This window comes from Homo sapiens, chromosome 6 (genome assembly GCF_000001405.40).
Source record: "Homo sapiens chromosome 6, GRCh38.p14 Primary Assembly".
NCBI lineage: Eukaryota > Metazoa > Chordata > Mammalia > Primates > Hominidae > Homo > Homo sapiens.
The window spans coordinates 18,210,568-18,232,984 of NC_000006.12; the positions used below are offsets into that span (position 1 = coordinate 18,210,568).

Here is a 22,417-nt window from a genome sequence, read left to right on the forward strand (position 1 = left end):
CCAGGCTGGTCTTGAACTCGTGGTCTTAAGCAATCCTCTTGCCTCAGCCTCCCAAAATGCTGGGATTATAGGTGTGAGCCACTGCACCTGGGCTACTCAAGTTCTTATGCTTTTCAGTGCTATTTTGTCATTAAGAAAACATCTAGATTTGTGGGCGTGGGTGGCTCATGCCTGTAATCACAGCACTTCGGGAGGCTGAGGCGAGAAGATGGCTTGAGGCCAGGAGTTTGAGACCAGCCTGGGCAACATGGTGAGACCCTGTCTCTACCAAACATAAAAAAATTATCTGGGCATCGTGCTGCACACCCATGGTCCCAGCTACTACAAGAAGCTGAGGCAAGAGGATCACTTGAGCACAGGAGTTTGAGGCTGCTGTGAGCTGTGATCATGCCACTGCACTCCAGCCGGGGCAACAGAGCAAGACCCTGTCTCTTTAAAGGGGAAAAAAATCTAGATTTTATTTATTTTCTTGCAATTTAATTGGATAGTAATTGGTTTTTTGTTGTGGTTTGCCTCATTTTTTTTGGTTGCATGGTAATTATCTATAAATAGATTATAAACTTCTTGATGATAGAGAGCATATTTTATACTTTATAAAAATATTTTCATGTGGCAGAAAATAGTGACAAAATCAGAGAACTCTGAACTTCCTGTGATCCTAGAATTGAGAGTTAAGCCAAATATACAAAATCTTTGAAGCCTCAGGTAGATTGGGTGCTTGGTCTTCAACTCCATTCCACTCTGATCCTAGGGTGTCATCCTGTACTGCAGATATTAGAAAGCAAATACACACACTCTTCCCCAACTCCCTACAGCAGGTTTCTAAACATCCATCCAGCCCAGCCAATCTGATGCACTTGCATGAGATGTAGAAGGTGTAGGTTGACTTTCGCTTCCCTTCTGCTGCCTCTGTTGAGAGCACACAATGCTGGAGGTGTTTGGTTCTTCTGCAGCAGGGTTCGTGAAAGTTGCAGGGTTTAGTCAGTAACCACAAGTCAAGAAGGAGGCCGTAAGGCATGCATGTTGCTGGTGCACGTGGTTCTGTATGTGGCATGATTCTGGAGCTGGCAGTAGTAGTAATGGCGTCCTGATTGTAGCAACGATAATGGGGTCTGGAGCCAGAAATGTCCAATTCCCAATGTTTGTGATGTGTTTCACTACTTATGAAGCATATTGATGTATCTTGTAAATTTTAGTTTTAAAGCATCACCCTGATTCTCAGAGGTTAGTGGGGCAGATACTACCTTCATTTTATAGATGTATGGCAGAGATGAGTGGCAGGCTTGGCCACACAGTAGAATGTATTAGGAATGATGCATAAAGTTCTCCTGACTCCATAGTTAGGGCTCTTTCCTCCTCAAGTACTGCTTTTCGGGGTTTTGTTTTTTTTTTTTTTTTGAGACAGTCTCGCTCTGTTGCCCAGGCTGGAGTGTAGTGGCGTGATCTCGGCTCACTGCAAACTCCGCCTTCCAGGTTCAAGAGATTCTCCTGCCTCAGCTTCCCAAGTATCTGGCACTACAGGCACCTGCCACCACACCTGGCTAATTTTTGTATTTTTGTAGAGACAGGGTTTCACCATGTTGGCCAGGCTGGTCTTGAACTCCTGACCTCAGGTGATCCACCCGCCTCGGCCTCTCAAAGTGCTGGGATTACAGGCATGAGCCACCGCACCTGGCCTCTGCTGACTCTTCTTATCTAAGATGATTATTCACCATCAGGACGTTTTTTGCCCACTCTTCCCTGTGGTTGCCACTTCTGCTTAGCCAGGCATTGGCACCCTTGTGCAGTGAGCAACCTGCACAGTTGCACATGGCAGCCCTTGTTCTTGCCAGTATAACAGCATGGGTTGTTGATACCAGTGTAGTGGTAGTGTGAGGTTCTGTTGCTGTTTGTTTGTTAACTGTTAATTATTTTCCACAGGTATTAGTCACTGTACCACTGGCTTTACTACAGAAAGGTGCCATTCAGTTTAATCCACCGTTGTCAGAGAAGAAGATGAAGGCTATCAACAGCTTAGGCGCAGGCATCATTGAAAAGGTGACTGAAATGACCTCATCCTCAGCAAGAAAGAGATTAATGTCAGATGATAGATGTTAACTTCTGATATGGAGAAGTAGTGGGTACTATCTAAATACAAATAAAACTCAAGGATTTCCTTTTCATTTGAGTAATTGTTCGTGAAGAACACAGAAGAATATTATCAAAACGAAAGGAGGAGAGCTGGCTGAGGTCTGTGAGTTTTGACTTTAGGAGAAAGAATCTTGTTATTCACAATTTGAATTTGGTATAAGCAATTCTTTTATCCCCTTTTTTCCCCCCTTCTGCTTTCTTTCTTGTCTGCTTTCCACTCATTGGCCCCAGTGAGGACAGAGGTTTATTTCTCCTGCCTTTAATATCTCCTGTAGCAGAATGGGCCAGTGCTGCAGCAGATTCTGACAGACCTATGAGTAGTGAGAGTTTAACTTAGGGACATACGCCCAGGAGTGAGTCTTAGGAATGCTGGGCATCTTCAGACTAGCTTCTAGGTTGCCAGTGGGTTCCATTATCCATGGGAATGGAACTGAGTGGCATCAAAAGCAAGGAGCTGGGCTGGGCACAGTGGCTCATGCCTGTAATCCCAGCACTTTGGAAGGCTGAGGAGGATGGATTACCTGAGGTCAGGAGTTCAAGACCAGCCTGACCAACATGGTGAAACCTCATCTCTACTAAAAATACAAAATTCGCTGGGCGTGGTGGTGTGCACCTGTAATCCCAGCTACTTGGGATGCTGAGGCAGGAGAATCACTCGAAACCGGAAAGTGGAGGCTGCAGTGAGCCAAGATCGCTCCATTGCACTCCCAGCTGGGCAACAAGAGCGAAACTCCGTCTCAAAAAAAAAAAAAACCCAAAAAACAAAACAAAACAAAAAACAACCAAGGAGTTCACAGGGGGAAAAAAGGAGGTGAGGAGAATGGAAAGAGCGGTATTTGGGGTTGTTCTTTCGGGCAGTGTCTTTGTTTTAGAGTAGAGCTACAGGTTGCTGCTTAGATATTGCCTGTGGTTTTGTGACGACAGACACCTAACCACCTTTCTTCTGCTCACTTTGCAGATTGCCTTGCAATTTCCGTATAGATTTTGGGACAGTAAAGTACAAGGGGCTGACTTTTTTGGTCACGTTCCTCCCAGTGCCAGCAAGCGAGGGCTTTTTGCCGTGTTCTATGACATGGATCCCCAGGTAAAATCATTCGTGAACTGTGGTTTGAATTTCCGTCTTAAAGTTTAGAATTTGATGTGATAATTACTCACCTATCAAGCTCAGGAACTAACGAACATCATGGAGACCCTGGGTCTATGTTTATATTCTGGGAGGACACTTGGACTGGACATTTTCCTATAGGAAAGGAGCCCCAGTATTTGCCATGTCTTCTTAAAGTCCTCATGTTGCTCCCTGGGACATGAATTGGATGCTTGTGGAAACTGTCATTTCAGGCTATGGGGGAATTCCTCTTAGGTGAAGTTGGAGACATCAGAGTCAATGAGTGGTGCTTGAAACTTCCTCTCTGAGGGTCCTCTAGGGAGCTGGGAAAGGGTGTATGATTGGTGAGGGAGGGTGTGAGTGTCAGCAGATGTGAGAGCTGAGGGAAGGAAGGAGAGAGGAGAATGGCATACCCAGAGCTGGACGGGGGTGGTCACTTTCTCTGCCGTCATGTCACTGCCACACGAAAGAATCATGGCTGTTTCTGACTTTCAGTTTCAAGAAACTTTGTCTTAAAAGGTTTCACATAGGAGCCGAGGGCAGATTTTCTTTACCATTTGAGGTTTTTTTATTTTTCATTGTTTTATCTGCAGATTTTCCTTCTCCATCTCTTTCTACTTCTTCCGAAGCAAGCTTTAATTAGTGAACAGCCAAGGGAACCTTAAAGTTGCTATTTACATTTCTTAGTGTTTTTCTTTTCCAGCAGGAAGCAATAGAGTGGATGGATGAATAATGAGTGTTTGCGAGGAAAATGGACTGGCGAGTGACGTGCGGATAAGGGACAGCCAGAAATAGTGACATTTAACTTGTGAGAGTGAGGCTCTTGGCCGGGTACAGTGGCTCACGCCTGTAATCCCAGCACTTTGGGAGGCCGAGGTGGGTGGATCACCTGAGGTCAGGAGTTTGAGACCAGTCTGGCCAACATGGTGAAACCCTGTCTCTACTAAAAATACAAAAGTTAGCCGGGCATGGTGGCAGACGCCTGTAATCCCAGCTACTCTGGAGGCTGAGGCAGGAGAATCACTTGAACCTGGGAGGCAGAGGTTGCAGTGAGCCAAGATTGCACCATTGCACTCCAGCCTGGGTGACAGAGCAAAACTCTGTCTCATTTAAAACAAAACAAAACAAAAAACAAAAAAAAGAGGCCCTTATCTGTGGGAGCTGAGCACTCACAGACCTCCTGCTTTTCCTTTCATGTCTCCAGAAGAAGCACAGCGTGCTGATGTCTGTGATTGCCGGGGAGGCTGTCGCATCCGTGAGGACCCTGGATGACAAACAGGTGCTGCAGCAGTGCATGGCCACGCTCCGGGAGCTGTTCAAGGAGCAGGTGAGAGAGAGGAAGCCCTCCTTGAAAGGGGCAAGCCGTGCTTGCTATCCAGAGCAGGTGTGAAGCCCAAGCAGCCAGCGTCACTGAGAATCACAGGAAGGAAGGCAGAGGCCACAGTCTTCTTTCTTTCAGAGTCCCACTGCCCACCTCAGCACTGAGATTAGTCTGTGAGGGCTGTCATCACAGAGTACCGCAGACTGGCTGCCTTAGACAACAGAAACTTATTCCTCACAGTTCTGGAGGCTGGAAGCCTGAGATCGAGGTGTCGGCAGGGTTGGTTTCTCCTGGGTCCTCTCTGTTTGGCTGGTAGATGCTGTCTTCTCCCTGTGTCCTCACATGGGCTTCCCTCTGTGTGTGTCTGTGTCCTCATCTCCTCTTCTTATGAGGACACAAATCAGATTAGATTAAGGCTCACCCCGGCGACCTCACTTTAAAGTAATTACCCATTGGAGACCATGCGACGAAATACAGTCACATTCTGAGGCACTGAGGGTTAGGGTGTCCACATGGGAATTTGAGGGAGACACGGTTCTGCCTGTAACAGTGCCCTGTACCTTTTTTTACACAATTGTCTTCCTTCCTTTTTTTCTTCTCACATCATACACACTTCCCTTTTTTTTTTTTTTTGTAAGGATATAAAAGGCTCGGTATTTTCTACGTGGATTCTATATTTACTGAAGCCCTAGAAGCTTTGACTACAGCTTTCCTTTTAAGAGGAGCCTTGGCCAGCTTTTTTTAATATCGCACACATGCAGATAGTCTCTTTTCTCCACGGAGCTCAGGATACTTTGTTTGCCAGTGTACTAAATCTCACCATCTCTGGAGATTTGTAAATGGCCATGGCTTATATCTTTTTGAAATAAAGGAGCAGAAATAGAAGTGAAATGACTCAAAAGTTATGTAAGTTAAAGAGAAAGGGGCATTCAGATATGTTGCTTATTTTATTTCATTTTAATTTATTTATTTTTGAGACAGAGTCTCACTCTTTCGCCCAGGCTGGAGTGCAGTGGCACAATCTTGGCTCACTGCAACCTCCACCTCCCGGGTTCAAGCGATTCTCCTGCCTCAGCCTCCCGAGTAGGCTGGGATTATGGGTGTGCTCCACCACACCCAGCTAATTTTTGTATTTTTGGTAGAGACAGGGTTTCACCATGTTTGCCTGGCTGGTCTTGAACTCCTGACCTCAAGTGATCCGCCTACCTCGGCCTCCTAAAGTGCTGGGATTACAGGTGTGAGCCACTGTATGGCCAGCCTTGTTGCTAATTTTATATGAGAGGATCTATCTAATGATGCAATCCCTTGCTTGGGGTTTTTGTTCAGAAGTTTGTTTTTTACATTAGTTGTTTGGAACTTAGCTTACCGTTTCTATAGAAATATTGTTTATCGTGTTGCTTGTTGGAGGCCAGCTGACAAATTACAGTCGCTCTCTCTTACTCGAGGCTTTGCTTTCATGGTTTCAGTTACTGTGGTCAACCAAGGTCTGAAAATATTTGATGGAAAATTCCAGAAATAGATTCATAAGTTTTCAGTCATGCACCGTTCTGAAGAGCGTGTCCAGTACCTCCACACTGTAGACATTGCCTGTCCATTAGTCACTCAGGAGTCATCTCTGTTATCAGAGCCATGTTCACATACCTTTTATTTCAGTATAGCGTTATAATTGTTCTATTTTATTATTGTCATTAATCTCTGTACCTAATGTATAAATGAAACTTTATCATAGGTATGAATAGGAAAAAACATAGTGTGTATAGTATTGGTCCTATCCATGGTTTCAGGCATCCCCTGCGGGTCATGGAACATATTCCTGGCGGGGAAGAGGGGACTGCTGTATTTTAAATTGAGTGAATGTGAAACATAACCTTGTATCACTGTTTTGTGGAGAACCCTGTTGAGAATTCCAACCTGTGATCCTGAGACTCCATCCTTCCCTTTTCTTCTTGGGCCAGAGACTCCTTTCTGCTACCACACGATGGAAAAGGGAAGGCCCGAACTCTTAGCCATGGGTGATAGCCCCCAGTAGAGGGAGAGTGTGTCCCGGGCAGAAGGAGGAGGTATAGAAGTGAGGGAATTGTGTGTGGGTGGGGCAGGAAAGAGAGGATAAGACACAAATACCGGCTTGGGTAGATTTAAAGGCAGCAGGAGGAACATCTTGAGAACTACTGTTTCAGAATGATACAGGAATAGACTCAGGTCCTAAACAGGGGGCAAAATGTATGAGTTGGGTTGTACCATGTCTATCTCCCTTCTTTTTTTTTTTTTTTTTTGAGATGGAGTCTGGCTCTGTTGCCCAGGCTGGAGTGCAGTGGCGCGATCTCGGCTCACTGCAAGCTCCGCCTCCTGGGTTCACGCCATTCTCCTGACTCAGCCTCCCGAGTAGCTGGGACTACAGGCGCCTGCCATCATGCCTGGCTAATTTTTCTATTTTTAGTAGAGATGGGGTTTCACCGTGTTAGCCAGGATCGTCTCGATCTCCTGACCTTGTGATCCACCCGCCTTAGCCTCCCAAAGTGCTGGGATGGGACTACAGGCATGAGTCACTGCGCCCTGCCATCTACATCCCTTCTTGATCCTACTTCATAATTCCTTTCTATTGGACATAGGAGGTCCCAGATCCCACAAAGTATTTTGTCACTCGGTGGAGCACAGACCCATGGATCCAGATGGCATACAGTTTTGTGAAGACAGGTGGAAGTGGGGAGGCCTACGATATCATTGCTGAAGACATTCAAGGAACCGTCTTTTTCGCTGGTGAGGTATGGATCTTGATTCCAAACCCAATTATTTGTATTTTGATTTCTGTCTTTCATCTAAAATGATATCTGCCCAGAGTTTAAAAACCAATTCAAATACTGTCAAAAGTCTTATGACCACAGACAGCAGAAGCCTTCTCACCATCCTCTTGCTCCCAGAGGCAGCCGTTTTTAACCTTCCAGCTATTCCTTCTGGACTTCACTTCATATTTTAAAAGTGTTTATATTGCCATCTCTCTTTCTTTTTTGTTTTTTTGAGACAGGGTCTCGCTCTGTGGCTCAGACTGGAGTGCAGTGGTACAGTCCTAGCTCACTGCAGCCTCAAACTCCCAGGCTCAGGTGACCCTCCCACCTCAGCTTCCCAAGTAGCTGGGACTGCAGGCATGTGCCACCAAGCCTGGCTAATTTTTTTTTTATTTTTTGTAGAGACGGGGTCCGCAGTGTTGCCCAGGCTGGCCTCAAACCCGTGGCCTTAAGCAGTCTTCCCACCTCAGCCTCCCAGAGTGTTAGGATTACAGGTGTGAGCCACCATGCCCAGCCTATGATGTCATCTTCTGATTTAACATTAGACAGACATTATTGACTGCCTCCCTATTGGGTTAAAGACTTAGCCCATTTAGTCTCTGCACCATTTGCTCAACATGGTTATTTCACACTTTTCATTAAATTGGTATTGGTATTTACATGGCTGTGTAAATGTCATTTACTGCTGAGCCAAGAAGGTGTCCACTGATACCTTCTTACACAGTTTTCTGTTTTCTTGGCAATTATAATGGCTCCTTTGGTCATTAGCTTAATTCCTTTGGTACCTCTCCCCATGTCTCCCATACCCTGGGTTTGTCTCTCATTTACAGTTGACACTGTCTGAGCTGGCCAGCTAGCTCCAGTCCTTGAAATGTCCCCTTCCTGAGTCCTCTTCCCTCTGCTCTGGTCCACACTGGTTGACCTCTGAGATTACTGCAGAGTGTCCTCCTGGGTCTCTCTAATTTAAATTTAATTTAATTTAATTATTTTATTTTAAATTTTATTTATTTTTTTGAGACGGAGTCTCTCTTTGTTGCCCATGCTGGAGTGCAGTGGCACGATCTCAGCTCACTGCAAGCTCTGCCTCCTGGGTTCACACCATTCTCCTGCCTCAGCCTCCCGAATAGCTGGGACCACAGGCGCCCGCCACCACGCCCGACTAATTTTTTGTATTTTTAGTAGAGACGGGGTTTCACCGTGTTAGCCAGGATGGTCTCCATCTCCTGACCTCGTGATCTGCCTGCCTCAGCCTCCCAAAGTGCTGGGATTACAGGTGTGAGCCACCGCGCCTGGCCTGGATCTCTTTTAAAATCACTCTCCAGCATTGGGCCTTTATTTCTAAGATCCGTCTCTTTCTTGATTTACTTCTGTTGAAAAATGTTTTGCTATTCTGATTTCTGATCCTTTTACTTCACTTTCTTATCTGCTAAAATAAAGATGAGTTTTTTCTCTTTCTTTCTAGAGATTCTGTTCCATATCTTGGAACTTTTGAATTGAGCATCTAATTTTTCCTCTTTACTATTATTCATCTCTTATGCTACTTTTGGGGGAGATTTTAAAATCGTCCAACTCTAATTGACTTTGAAATTTTTGGCTTTTACTTTATGAGCACTTTCTTGTTTGCAGAATGTTCCTTTTTTGTAGCATCCTCTTGTTACAACTTGTTTCTAAGGTTTTAAAGCTTTGGATGATTTTGCTTTTATGCTCCCTCCCTCCCTGGTTTCCTCAGTCTCAGAGTTCTTATTTTGTGTGCTGCAGTCTTTGCCTGCTACATGTCCAAATCCCCGATCCATCACCGTTGACTTAGATTCGAGCAAGGCATTTTTTTAAAAGCTTTGTGAAAGCTCCAGCAAGCTTATCAACCAGTGGCCGGATTCCCAAACATCACTATCTGGGAACAGTTAGTTTCCTGTGTGGTGGAAGCTCAGCCCCTGGCACTGTGGGCGCTGGAAGCTTCATTGTTAGTTATGAAGGCTTCATTTCACTTCATCCCCATTTTATTTGGTGCTTCGCCCTGATCTCTAAGTCACATCTCTGAGGAGTTGCAGCCGGTCAAGTGGGGAATGTGGTGAGGGATGTATTAATAATTGCTCTTTATAGTCTTTAAGCCAATCCTGTTTTCACCCCTTGCTAACCTCTGCCTCCATGGTTCCTCATACTTCCAATGGCTGAGATTTTCTAAGGATTCTCTGGGATGAATTGGTTTGCTTTTTGTTAAAACCCCTGCCCCCAACCCCAAACTTAAAATGAATTGTTACCACTCTTTCACCTGTGTTCCTACTTCGTTTAATATGGTTTAGAAGTACACGTCTCATTGTTTCATCTAAAATATAGTTACCGTTTTTGTTTACAGAAGAATAACATTGGCCGGGTGCGATGGCTCACGCCTGTAATCCCAGCACATTGCTGAGACAGGTGTATCACCTGAGGCCAGGAGTTTGAGACCAGCCTGGCCAACATGGTGAAACCCCGTCACTACTAAAAATACAAAAATCAGCTGGGCATGGTGGCGGGCGCCTGTAATCCCAGCGACTCAGGAGGCTGAGGTAGAATCGCTTGAACCTGGGAGGCGGAGGTTGCAGTGAGCCAAGATCACGCCACTGCACTCCAGCCTGGGAGACAGAGTGAGACTCTTTTTCAAAACAAAACAAAAGAATGACATCTAAAAACCAGATGACTTTGATTACTCCTTGGCCTATGAAGACCTTACTCTGTGGCAAGGGGATAAAGGCTGCATGCCAGACAACAAATGTCAGCAGCTTCGGAGAGACGGCTGTTTCAGGCTACTGTGCCTTAGGGTCATGAACATGGCTTAGATGGCTTCTTGCTTTCCTTTGCTGCTTTGATGCGATTATTACCTCACCTTTTCCTTTTTTTTTTTTTGAGATGGAGTCTCGCTGTGTCGCACAGGCTGGAGTGCAGTGGCGCGATCTTGGCTCACTGCAACCTCCGCCACCTGCGTTCAAGCAATTCTGTTTCAGCTGGTGTGTGCCACTGTGCCCAGCTAATTTTTTATTTTTTTTTAGTAGAGATGGGGTTTCATCATGTTGGTCAGGCAGGTCTTGAACTCCTGACCTCAGGTGATCCACCTGCCTCCCAAAGTGTTGGGATTACATGCGTGAGCCACCGCTCCTTCTTCTAAAAACCTATTTCTGAGGCTTCCTTCCCTCACTGCCACTTTCTCCCCCCACTAGTCACTATATTCCTGCTGATGTAATCACTCCCCCATTCATTGAAGCCTTTGGCCCCTGGATGTTTTCCCTTCTATCCAGGCATCAGTTTAGGTGACTACACTTCACTTCACCTCTCCATTTCTTATCCTCCATTTTCTGCTGTCTGTTCAGCTCCTCTTCAGCTACCCCTTTCCACAGCCACATCTCAGACCTTGTCATAATTACTTAATCACTAATTCAGGCCTCCTCCTATCCTGTCCTCCCCTATCCTCCTGGTTTGCTTATTGTTCCCACCATAGCCATTCCTTGAGTGAGGTTCTCCTATTATTGAGTCGTTTTACTTCCTCCCAATCCAACAGCCCTCACTCACATTGTCTTTTTCTTATTGAACTTACGGTCCCTGGTATATCCTTTGAGTAACGTAACTCTCTACCTATTTTTTTACCCATCTAGCAAAAGTCCATCTGTGGCTTGGCTGAACTGCCATTCATCTTTTGTACTTGTTTCGCCTGTGATTGTACCAGCTACATTACTTGTCTGATGGGAGGGACTGTGTCTTAATTGTTCTTAACTCTAGTACCTATCACATATACTTAGTATTTTAAAGAGTGCTGCGTAGTACTTCAAGATAGCATACAATGAGTGAATTTGACAATGCATGGCCAGATAACCAGAAAAGTTCCAGTGTTACGATGGGTGAGTGTGAATATGAGCACACAGGAGTGGCACAAATCTTTATGTTAGACCAGATAAAGTCTAACCTTGTTTTACCTTTTGATATCAACTCAACTCTATGCATGATCTCAAATTATGTAATTATGTTTTACAGGCAACAAACAGGCATTTCCCACAAACTGTTACAGGGGCATATTTGAGTGGCGTTCGAGAAGCAAGCAAGATTGCAGCATTTTAAGAATTCGGTGGACCCAGCTTTCTTCTGTACCCCAGATGGGGAAATTTGAATCACATGTTAAACCTCAGTTTTATAAGAGGGGGAAAAAACCGTCTCTACATAGTAAAACTGAAATGTTTCTAAGGCGATATGATAATGCAAACCTATTTCATCACTCTAAAAGCACTGACCTCAAAAAACCTTATAAGCACTTAGATTTAATTGCATTTTCCATAGGTTCAACTACTGCTGAAAGTCTGGATTTCAGAATAAAGCAGAATGTAAGTTTCAGTTGAGGCCATGGATTTGATTGTTCCATGGCTGGAAGTTCCCTTTAGATTTCACATTTTATATGGCTGATCAATTTTCATACATTGAGAAACCAAGTCAATCAAGCAGGAATCATTTAAAAACCAGATAAAGCCATGTTTTTCTTCTGTGACAATTTATCAGTATCTTTACCAATGAGCCTTAATTTTTATATAGGTCCAATATTGAGCTTTTACTTAAAATTTAGATAGAACTTTTTTTTGGATACAGCACAAACTCCAGTTGACAGTAAAATGAAGCTTCTAGGTATTTTGTATTGTACATATTTCCTCCTACTGGGTGTTCAAAAGAAATTTAAATTCAAGTACCTTTTGTGATAAAATGTTTTAGATTTGTGCACCCATTGGCAAAACAGGAAAGTTTCCAGATAGGTATTGTATCATTGAGAATGCAGCACAGATAGTGTGGGCTTCACACTATAGACACAGAATATAGCTTTTTCTTAAAGCCAAATTTGGGTGATAGGACACTTTAAATATCCTTAATTTTGGCAACCACTAGCAAAAAAACTTGTCAGAATAATTTAACCAAGCCCCTCTCCACTTCTTTTATTTAAAAGCACTGATTCAATTGCTAGGAATATTTTTGCAGATTTTTCTTTACAGTATTCCATAGGCAGGTCCACTGGAAAACTGCAGAAAAATGTGAGCTCTCCTGGTAAATAGTATACATTTTATAAGCTATATTTTAAAGGCCTAAGAACATGGCAAGTATTTACTTTTATCTTTTTTTTAAAAACACTCATGACAGAAAACAGTTTAATAATATCTCATTCTAAAATAAAACACTGGTTGCAGGGTCTTCAGGATGCCTATTTTGCCAAGAAACTTCAGTATACAGGTTAGAAATATGCTTTTGTTTTTGAACAATAATATACTGGTTTGCTTTAAAGAAGGGACTAAATATGACTTTAAAGAGACTTCAAAATATTGAGTATTTTAAAAATTTAAAAGTAGGTCAGTTTATAACGAGTAAATACCTAACACACCAAGAATGTGCAGTGAACCTCAGGCATTTAAGACACCTCCCCCACCGCCCGCCCCCCGCCCCCCCCAATCAAAGTGTGGTCCCAAAACAAGCCAACAGCTGTATATCTCAAAAGTTAACCCAAGACAACTCTGATATTTAGGTTATTTGTTGAGACTCATTGGTACTGACTGGCAAGTATTCTGCTTTAAAGTATCATGTATTAAAATGTTTAGACAGCATGTGTTTTAAAGTGATAAATGCAAAATGTTAAGTTTGAAATGGTTAACAGTAAATTATTATGTTAGTTTCCAGGCACTTGAACTGTGCTACAAGTAGGGGAAAACCTACTTTAAAGTATGGTAAATGTGTGTTTTAAACTTCCTATCAAGTGACATACTTCATTTGATTTTTTGTTTAAGAAGCCATGGTACTTTTTTCTTGAGTTACTTTGGATATGTTTTTTCAATGCCATCTGAAGATTTTGTAATTGAGTAGCAGTAAATATACAGATTTACAATGTTTTAACTACAGTTCATGAATAGCTGGTTGTGTAAAACTAATAAAAAACTAGACTTTCACATGTACTCTGTACTGTAGTGGTGATACATCCATTTAATAAGTGTGCGTACTCATCAAGAACTTTCATACAGAACAACTCCATTTCCTCACTTCCAAATACTCTATGCATGACTACTTACCTTCTTTATAGCAAATGGTCATAAAATTAACCTTAATTATTCAGTTTTGTGAAGTCACTCCAAGAAAATGGTCCATTACCACAAAAGAGTATTCCAAATTGTATAGGTTATAGGGCTGAATCAATTTAAAAATCCCTTTTCAGAATTATTCCCCATAAGGAAATGCTATATACACCTATAAGATATCAAATGCAAGTGACTTAAAACACCAGTGATTTAGATTTATTTTTATTGACAAGGTTTATAAGAACAAATATTTAAAATCGAAGGCCAATTATTAGGTCTCATTTAGTTGCTTATTTTGTTCACTTGTATTTACCTTTCCCTAGTGTCTGAGTAACTATCAAGAAACAAACCTGTGAAAATACCTGTTAACATTCAACATATATTTTTATATATTTCTGTTCTATGATGCAAAGATATTTTTCAACACTTAATTGGTGCAACAAATGTGTCATTGTGTCATAAACAGCATGTTTTAAAATTCAGATTTAATAAACTGATTTAAGACAGTAAATTTGAAAGACAAAATTAAGTCTCATTCAGGAGTGGTCCATTATGTTGATCATCTAGAATCAACACTGATTAACCAAACTCTGAAAGCCAAGAGCCCCAACTCCAGAGAAACATTAAATTTCTTTAATGTAAAAGTATATTATTTTTGAGACACACTTTGTCAGAGACATCCACGATTGCCTGCACATTATATTCTGGCATTATAATCTGGTACTTTAGTCATAATCGTGAAGCTGGCTAGGTTTCCAGTAAATATCAGCATTTTATATGGGCAAAAGCAGTTAATAAAAATCAGTTCATTTACTGTAAGCCAAATGTGCTTGTACTTAATCCCACCCTTTCCCAAAGTTTTTGAAGCTTTGATAGGTTGATTTTTGGTCTGTCCTTATATAATATAAAACGTACCTACAGACACTTTTACAGAGTTAATACTAAAATTACAAATTGATGACACTTTCGAGGCAAAGCAGGGTAACTGTTCCTTCAGTGTTGCCATCACTGAATTGACTTTCACTGTTCCATCATACTGTTTGGCTGAACACTGACATTCCATAGTCTACAACTATAAAGATACCTACCTATGTGAGTTTAAAAAGTGATCTGCACAAAAGAAATAAAAAAACTTTATATACAACCAATTGTTTTTTAAAAATACAAAAATAACATCTGTCACTTTTGTCATGCTGACAATTTGACATATATACACATGCAGGAGAAAAGTTCCAATTCAGTGATCTGGACAACTGTAGCTTGTATATTTTTAATATGATGGACACACTGCCGCTGAATTTTCACACTGACAGAGATGTGTATTCAAAATATTTCATATACTAAATACTACAATCTCTGTATGTATAAATCCTGGTGATAATAGTTTTTGTTCTACTTGATTAAAAGTATGCCTTAAGCAAGCTAATATTAAGTGCACTAAAAACCACAACAGCTCAAGAATCTATGACCTTATATAAAGAAATCCAAAATGTACAAAATACAACTATAAAAGCAAGGAACAATTAATGCCATGCAAGATTTTAAACTAAAAATGGCATAGAAATGCAATTTAAAACAGCAAACTCAAATTCACATAACACTCAAGATAAAAAGGTCAGCAGTAAGTTCTACTAACGTTGCTTAACAAGGATTTAGAAAAGGAAATACATTCTCTTTGCTGGTATAATGGTATAAATCAGATCTTCAAATCTATGGGAACGAGTCATCTTCTCTGTCCTCTATCTCAAGAAATTAGCTGTAATGAAAGAGAAACATTATTTTGCCATAAATCATAAACCTTTATCCCATTTTTTCCACATCTATTTTACTATTTTGTCCTTCAAAAATCAGTTGAGATCAATACAGAATTACAGCTACCTGCTGATCTTCCCCTCACCTTTGCCTCGTAGACAGGAACTTCCTCAAGTATTTGTGAGAGCAACGTTGAGATGCCCAGCTACCCAGGTACACCATGAGGCCACATCATAATCTGAGTTCAGGTCTTATCACTAACTGTTCAAACTTTAATTTTAAGCTTTAAAGTGGGAATGAGAAGAAATAAATTTCCCTATTATGAAGAAATGTGAGGATCAAATGTGATATTTAGTGACATGAATATTTTGAAAAATATGGAGTATTTTATGTAATTACTTTTGTCTTATATTTCTAAAGTCAAACTTGAAAGACTGAAATATTTACCTCTTTTACAGTTGTTTTTATGAAATCTTTTCTTTCAGTTAAATCATAAGTAGGATAATTTTCATAGACCTATGTATAGTGAAAAGGAAAAATAATGTTAAAAGCAGATTTTAAAATCCAGTAATATTGTCTTTGAATAAAAGCAGGAAATCTGCTACGTGCAAATAGCCACAACCATCCCAACAGTACTCTGGTTAACCCATATGGAATTCTATTCCAAATGAGTATTTTAATAATATTGTATATGATGTGGAAAACTAGCATGCAAACATTCTCAGTGTTTTCAGGCTGAGAGTCTGGAATGAATTAACTAACCATAAACAAGCCAGATGTGATGGCTCACGCCTGTAATTCCAACACTCTGGGAAACCTAGGTGGGAAGATCACTTGAGCCCAGGAATTCGAAACCAGCCTCAGGCAACCTGGTGAGACCTTGTGTCTACAAAAAATTTAAAAAGTAGCCAGGCATGGTCATGCATGCCTGTAATCCCAGCTACTGAGGAGGGTGAAGCAGGAGGATGGCTTGGGCCCAGGAGGTTGAGGTTGCAGTGAGCTGTGTTGGTGGCACTGCATTCCAGCCTGGACCACAGAGTGTGGGGAAAAGAAAGAGAGATCAGATGGTTACTGTGTCTGTGTAGAAAGAAGTAGACCACAGGAGACTCCATTTTGTTCTGTACTAAGAAAAATTCTTCTGCCTTGAGATGCTGTTACTCTCTGAAACATGTGCTGTGTCAACTCAGGGTGAAATGGATTAAGGGCTGTGCAAGATGTGCTTTGTTAAACAGATGCTTGAAGGCAGCATGCTCGTTAACAGTCATCACCACTCCCTAATCTCAAGTACCCAGGGACACAAACACCGCGGAAGGCTGCAGGGACCTCTGCCTAGGAAAGCCAGGTATTGTCCAAGGTTTCTCCCCATGTCATAGTCTGAAATATGGCCTCGTGAGAAGGGAAAGACCTGACCGTCCCCCAGCCCGACACCCTTAAAGGGTCTGTGCTGAGGAGGGTTAGTATAAGAGGAAGGAACGCCTCTTTGCAGTTGAGACAAGAGGAAGGCATCTGTCTCCTGCCTGTCCCTGGGCAATGGAATGTCTCGGTATAAAACCCGATTGTACGTTCCATCTACTGAGATAGGGGAAAAACGCCTTAGGGCTGGAGGTGGGACATGCGGGCAGTAATACTGTAAGGCATTGAGATGTTTATGTGTATGCATATCTAAAGCACAGCACTTAATTCTTTACCTTGACTATGATGCAGAGACCTTTGTTCACATGTTTATCTGCTGACCTTGTCTCCACTATTATCCTATGACCCTGCCACATCCCCCTCTCCGAGAAACACCCAAGAATGACCAATAAATACTAAGGGACCTCAGAAGCCGGCCGGATCCTCCGTATACTGAACGCTGGTCCCCTGAGTCCCCTTATTTCTTTCTCTATACTTTGTGTCTTTTTCTTTTCTAAGTCTCTCGTTTCACCTAACAAGAAACACCCACAGGTGTGGAGGGGCAACCCACCCCTTCAACAGAGCAAGACCCTGTCTCAAAAACAAAAAACCCCAACAAACATGGGTAAAGAAAACATCCAGATAGATCTTAGATAACAGAACTAAGTTCTTTATGTTGGCAAGTCATCTGCCAAGTGTCTTTTAGGGAAAACTTCTTTCTTCTCCAACCCTTGTTATTATCCAGCACCCTACCTATGATTCCACAACCTGAAAAGCAATGAACTGCTTCCTCTACTCCACTGCTCAGTCCCTCCCTAAAGTTAAATCCTAAGACCCAGGTGGTCTCAAGAGTCCTGTACTCCTAAAATTTGACTAAATTTCTGCCTTTTGTCAATTTTCTCAGTCCTGTTATACTTGCTGCTTGACTCAGGTCCTGACTCTATAAGCTCACAGTCTGCAAGCACCCTGTAGGCTTTACTTCCACTGTATAGTTCAGGGTCAGCAACTTTTTCTGTAAAGGGCTAGATGGTACAAATAGTTTCAATTTTGCCAGTCAGTTTCTACTCTGCCAGTCAGTTTCTACTCAACTATGCGTTGTAGTGGCAATGCTGCCATAGACAATAGTTAAATAAATAGATGTGGCTGTATTACAATAAAATTTTGCTTACAAAACCAGGTGACTAAGATAGAATGGATTTAGCCCACAGGCTGTAGTATGCCAACCCTCTAAAATATAGTTCATCATTTAAATTACTCTAATTGTTTGCCCCGGGAGGTTCCAAGATGGCCGAATAGGAACAGCTCCAGTCTACAGCTCCCACCGTGAGCGACGCAGAAGACGGGTGATTTCTGCATTTCCAACTGAGATACCAGGTTCATCTCACTGGGGCTTGTCGGACGGTGGGTACAGGACAGTGGGTGCAGCCAACCGAGCGTGAGCTGAAGCAGGGCAAGGCATCGCCTCACCTGGGAAGCGCAAGGGGTCAGGGAATTCCCTTTCCTAGCCAAAGGAAGCTGTGATAGACGGCACCTGGAAAATTGGGTCACTCCCACCCTAATACTGCACTTTTCCAACAATCTTAGCAAACGGGACACCAGGAGATTATATCCCGCGCCTGGCTCGGAGAGTCCCACGCCCACGGAGCCTCGCTCATTGCTAGCACGGCAGTGTAAGATTTAACTGCAAGGTGGCAGCAAGGCTGGGGGAGGGGCGCCCGCCATTGCTGAGGCTTGAGTTGTAAACAAAGCTGCGAGGAAGCTCGAACTGGGTGGAGCCCACCACAGCTCAAGGAGGCCTGACTGCCTCTGTAGACTCCACCTCTGACAGACTGCCTCAAGTGAGTCCCTGTCCCCTGAGTGGCCTAACTGGGAGACACCTCCCAGTAGGAGCTGACTGACACCTCACACGGCCGGGTGCCACTCTGAGACGAAGCTTCCAGAGGAAGGATCAGGCAGGACAGTATTTGCTGTTCTGCAGCCTCCACTGCTGATACCCAGGCAAACAGGGTCTGCAGTGGACCTCCAGCAAACTCCAACAGACCTGCAGCTGAGGGTCCTGACTGTTAGAAGGAAAACTAACAAAAAGAACATCCACACCAAAACCCCATCTGTACGTCACCATCATCAAAGACCAAAGGTAGATAAAACCACAAAGATGGGAAGAAACCAGAGCAGAAAAGCTGAAAATTCTAAAAATTAGAGCGCCTCTTCTCCTCCAAAGGAACACAGCTCCTCGCCAGCAATGGAACAAAGCTGGACGGAGAATGACTTTGATGAGTTGAGAGAAGGCTTCAGACGATCAAACTTCTCCAAGCTAAAGGAGGATGTTCGAACCCATCACAAAGAAGCTAAAAACCTTGAAAAAAGATGAGACGAATGGCTAACTAGAATAACCAGTGTAGAGAAGTCCTTAAATGACCTGATGGCGCTGAAAACCATGGCACGAGAACTACGTGATGCATGCACAAGCTTCAGTAGCCGATTCGATCAACTGGAAGAAAGGGTATCAGTGATTGAAGAGCAAATGAATGAAATGAAGCGAGAAGAGAAGTCTGGAGAAAAAAGAGTAAAAAGAAACAAACAAAGCCTCCAAGAAACACGGGACTATGTGAAAAGACCAAATCTACATCTGATTGGTGTACCTGAAAGTGACGGGGAGAATGGAACCAAGTTGGAAAACACTCTTCAGGATATTATCCAGGAGAACTTCCCCAATCTAGCAAGGCAGGCCAACATTCAAATTCAGGAAATACAGAGAACACCACAAAAATACTCCTCGAGAAGAGCAACTCCAAGATACATAATTGCCAGATTCACCAAAGCTGAAATGAAGGAAAAAATGTCAAGGGCAGCCAGAGAGAAAGGTCGGGTTACCCACAAAGGGAAGCCCATCAAACTAACAGCGGATCTCTAGGCAGAAACTCTACAAGCCAGAATAGAGTGAGGGCCAATATTCGACATTCTTAAAGAAAAGAATTTTCAACCCAGAATTTCATATCCAGCTAAACCAAGCTTCATAAGTGAAGGAGAAATAAAATCCTTTACAGACAAGCAAATGCTGAGAGATTTTGTCACCACCAGGCCTGCCTTACAAGAGCTCCTGAAGGAAGCACTAAACATGGAAAGGAACAACCGGTACCAGCCACTGCAAAAACATGCCAAATTGTAAAGACCATCGATGCTAGGAAGAAACTGCATCAACTAACGAGCAAAATAACCAGCTAACATCATAATGACAGGATCAAATTCACACATAACAACATTAACCTTAAATGTAAATGGGCTAAATGCTCCAATTAAAAGACACAGACTGACAAACTGGATAAAGAGTCAAGACCCATCAGTGTGCTGTATTCAGGAGACCCATCTCATGTGCAGAGACACACATAGGCTCAAAATGAAGGGATGGAGGAAGATCTACCAAGCAAATGGAAAACAAAAAAAACAGGGGTTGCAATCCTAGTCTCTGATAAAACAGACTTTAAACCAACAAAGATCAAAAGAGACAAAGAAGGGCATTACATAATGGTAAAGGGATCAATTCAACAAGGAGAGCTAACTATCCTAAATATATATGCACCCAATACAGGAGCACCCAGATTCATAAAGCAAGTCCTTAGAGACCTACAAAGAGACGTAGACTCCCACACAATAATAATGGGAGACTTTAACACCACACTGCAACATTAGTCAGATCAGTGAGACAGAAAGTCAACAAGGATACCCAGGAATTGAACTCAGCTCTGCACCAAGCGGACCTAACAGACATCTACAGAACTCTCCACCCCAAATCAACAGAATATACATTCTTCTCAGCACTACATCGCACTTATTCCAAAATTGACCACATAGTTGGAAGTAAAGCACTCCTCAGCAAATGTAAAATTTTAACAAACTCTCTCTCAGACCAAAGTGCAATCAAACTAGAACTCAGGATTAAGAAACTCACTCAAAACAGCTCAACTACATGGAAACTGAACAACCTGCTCCTGAATGACTACTGGGTACATAACAAAATGAAGGCAGAAATAAAGATGTTCTTTGAAACCAATGAGAAAAACGACACAACATACCACAATCTCTGGGACACATTTAAAGCAGTGTGTAGAGGGAAATTTATAGCACTAAATGCCCACAGGAGAAAGCAGGAAAGATCTAAAATTGACACCCTAACATCACAATTAAAAGAACTAGAGAAGCAAGAGCAAACACATTCAAAAGCTAGCAGAAGGCAAGAAATAACTAAGATCAGAGCAGAACTGAAGGAGACACAGACACAAAAAAACCTTCAAAAAAAGCAATTAATCCAGGAGCTGGTTTTTTGAAAAGATCAATAAAATTGATAGACCGCTAGCAAGACTAATAAGAAAAGAGAGAAGAATCAAACAGACGAAATAAAAAATGATAAAGGGGATATCACCACCGATCCCACAGAAATACAAACTACCATCAGAGAATACTACAAACACCTCTACGCAAATAAACTAGAAAATCTAGATGAAATGGATAAATTCCTGGACACATACACCCTCCCAAGACTAAACCAGGAAGAAGTTGAATCTGAATAGACCAATAACAGGTTCTGAAATTGAGGCAATAATTAACAGCCTACCAACCAAAAAAAGTTCAGGACCAGATGGATTCACAGCTGAATTCTACCAGACGTACAAGGAGGAACTGATACCATTACTTCTAAAACTATTCCAATGAATAGAAAAAGAGGGAATCCTCCGTAACTCATTTTATGAGGCCACCATCATCCTGATATCAAAGCCTGGCAGAGAGACAACAAACAAAGAGAATTTCAGACCAATATCCCTGATGAACATCGACGCAAAAATCCTCAATACAATACTGGCAAACCGAATCCAGCAGCAAATCAAAAACCTTATCTACCATGATTAAGTGGACTTCATCCCTGGCATGCAAGGCTGGTTCAACACACGCAAATCAACAAACGTAATCCATCATATAAACAGAACCAAAGACAAAAACCACAAGATTATCTCAATAGATACAGAAAAGGCCTTCGACAAAATTCAACAGCCCTTCATGCTAAAAACTCTCAATAAATTAGGTAGTGATGTGACGTATCTCAAAATAATAAAGAGCTATTTATGACAAACCCACAGTCATCATATTGAATGGGCAAAAACTGGAATCATTCCCTTTGAAAACTGGCACAAGACAGGGATGCCCTCTCTCACCACTCCTATTCAACATAGTGCTGGAAGTTCTGGCCAGGGCAATCAGGCAGGAGAAAGAAAATAAAGGGTATTCAATTAGGAAAAGAGGAACTCAAATTGTCCCTGTTTGCAGATGACATGATTCTATATTTAGAAAACCCCATCGTCTCAGCCCAAAATCTCCTTAAGCTGATAAGCAACTTCAGCAAAGTCTCAGGATACAAAATCAATGTGCAAAAATCACAAGCATTCCTATACACCCATAACAGACAGAGAGCCAAATAATGAGTGAATTCCCATTCACAATTGCTTCAAAGAGATTAAAATACCTAGGAATCCAACTTAACAAGGGATGTGAAGGACCTCTTCAAGGAGAACTACAAGCCACTACTCAACAAAATAAAAGAGGACACAAACAAATGGAAGAACATTCCATGCTCAAGGATTGGAAGAATCAATATCTTGAAAATGGCCATAGATAATTTATAGATTCAATGCCATCCCCATCAAGCTACCAATCACTTTCTTCATAGAACTGGAAAAAACTAAAGTTCATATGGAATCAAAAAAGAGCCCGCATTGCCAAAACAATCTTAAGCCAAAAGAACAAAGCTGGAGGCAGCACACTACCTGACTTCAAACTATACTATAAGGCTACAGTAACCAAAACAGCATGGTAC

At 42.1% G+C, this 22,417-nt stretch overlaps 2 protein-coding genes across 30 annotated transcripts in view, besides 5 other annotated features; one reads left to right on the plus strand and one right to left on the minus strand.

Annotated features, from left to right (window-relative positions):
• The window catches only part of KDM1B (lysine demethylase 1B), a 68,433-nt gene extending 55,146 nt beyond the window's left edge, over nt 1–13,287 (plus strand). For all 27 annotated transcript variants that reach the window (NM_001439117.1, NM_001439118.1, XM_017010445.3 and 24 more), the window contains 5 exons: nt 1,921–2,037; nt 3,089–3,214; nt 4,440–4,562; nt 7,166–7,318; nt 11,342–13,287. In NM_001439117.1, coding sequence (NP_001426046.1) covers nt 1,921–2,037; nt 3,089–3,214; nt 4,440–4,562; nt 7,166–7,318; nt 11,342–11,425 — 603 coding nt within the window. In that variant the 3' untranslated portion in view covers nt 11,426–13,287. The remainder of the gene's footprint in view (nt 1–1,920; nt 2,038–3,088; nt 3,215–4,439; nt 4,563–7,165; nt 7,319–11,341) is intronic.
• Nucleotides 1,099–1,148: an enhancer, noted in NCBI's record as "active region_24118". NCBI's record gives its function as "activates an Ori minimal core promoter by ATAC-STARR-seq in GM12878 lymphoblastoid cells {active_cell/tissue: GM12878}" and the evidence as "EXISTENCE:reporter gene assay evidence [ECO:0000049][PMID:35858748]".
• Nucleotides 4,496–4,545: a silencer, noted in NCBI's record as "silent region_16970". NCBI's record gives its function as "represses an Ori minimal core promoter by ATAC-STARR-seq in GM12878 lymphoblastoid cells {active_cell/tissue: GM12878}" and the evidence as "EXISTENCE:reporter gene assay evidence [ECO:0000049][PMID:35858748]".
• Nucleotides 4,756–4,875: an enhancer, noted in NCBI's record as "active region_24119". NCBI's record gives its function as "activates an Ori minimal core promoter by ATAC-STARR-seq in GM12878 lymphoblastoid cells {active_cell/tissue: GM12878}" and the evidence as "EXISTENCE:reporter gene assay evidence [ECO:0000049][PMID:35858748]".
• DEK (DEK proto-oncogene) overlaps nt 13,293–22,417 on the minus strand; it is a 40,671-nt gene continuing 31,546 nt past the window's right edge. For all 3 annotated transcript variants that reach the window (NM_001134709.2, NM_003472.4, XM_024446544.2), the window contains 2 exons: nt 15,607–15,675; nt 13,293–15,163 (listed from right to left, as the gene is read on the minus strand). In NM_001134709.2, coding sequence (NP_001128181.1) covers nt 15,152–15,163; nt 15,607–15,675 — 81 coding nt within the window. In that variant the 3' untranslated portion in view covers nt 13,293–15,151. The remainder of the gene's footprint in view (nt 15,164–15,606; nt 15,676–22,417) is intronic.
• Nucleotides 16,208–16,720: an enhancer, noted in NCBI's record as "NANOG-H3K27ac hESC enhancer chr6:18227006-18227518 (GRCh37/hg19 assembly coordinates)". NCBI's record gives its function as "activates a minimal SCP1, AML or CMV promoter by ChIP-STARR-seq in naive and primed H9 embryonic stem cells {active_cell/tissue: H9 hESC(naive and primed)}" and the evidence as "EXISTENCE:reporter gene assay evidence [ECO:0000049][PMID:30033119]".
• Nucleotides 16,721–17,234: an enhancer, noted in NCBI's record as "NANOG-H3K27ac hESC enhancer chr6:18227519-18228032 (GRCh37/hg19 assembly coordinates)". NCBI's record gives its function as "activates a minimal SCP1, AML or CMV promoter by ChIP-STARR-seq in naive H9 embryonic stem cells {active_cell/tissue: H9 hESC(naive)}" and the evidence as "EXISTENCE:reporter gene assay evidence [ECO:0000049][PMID:30033119]".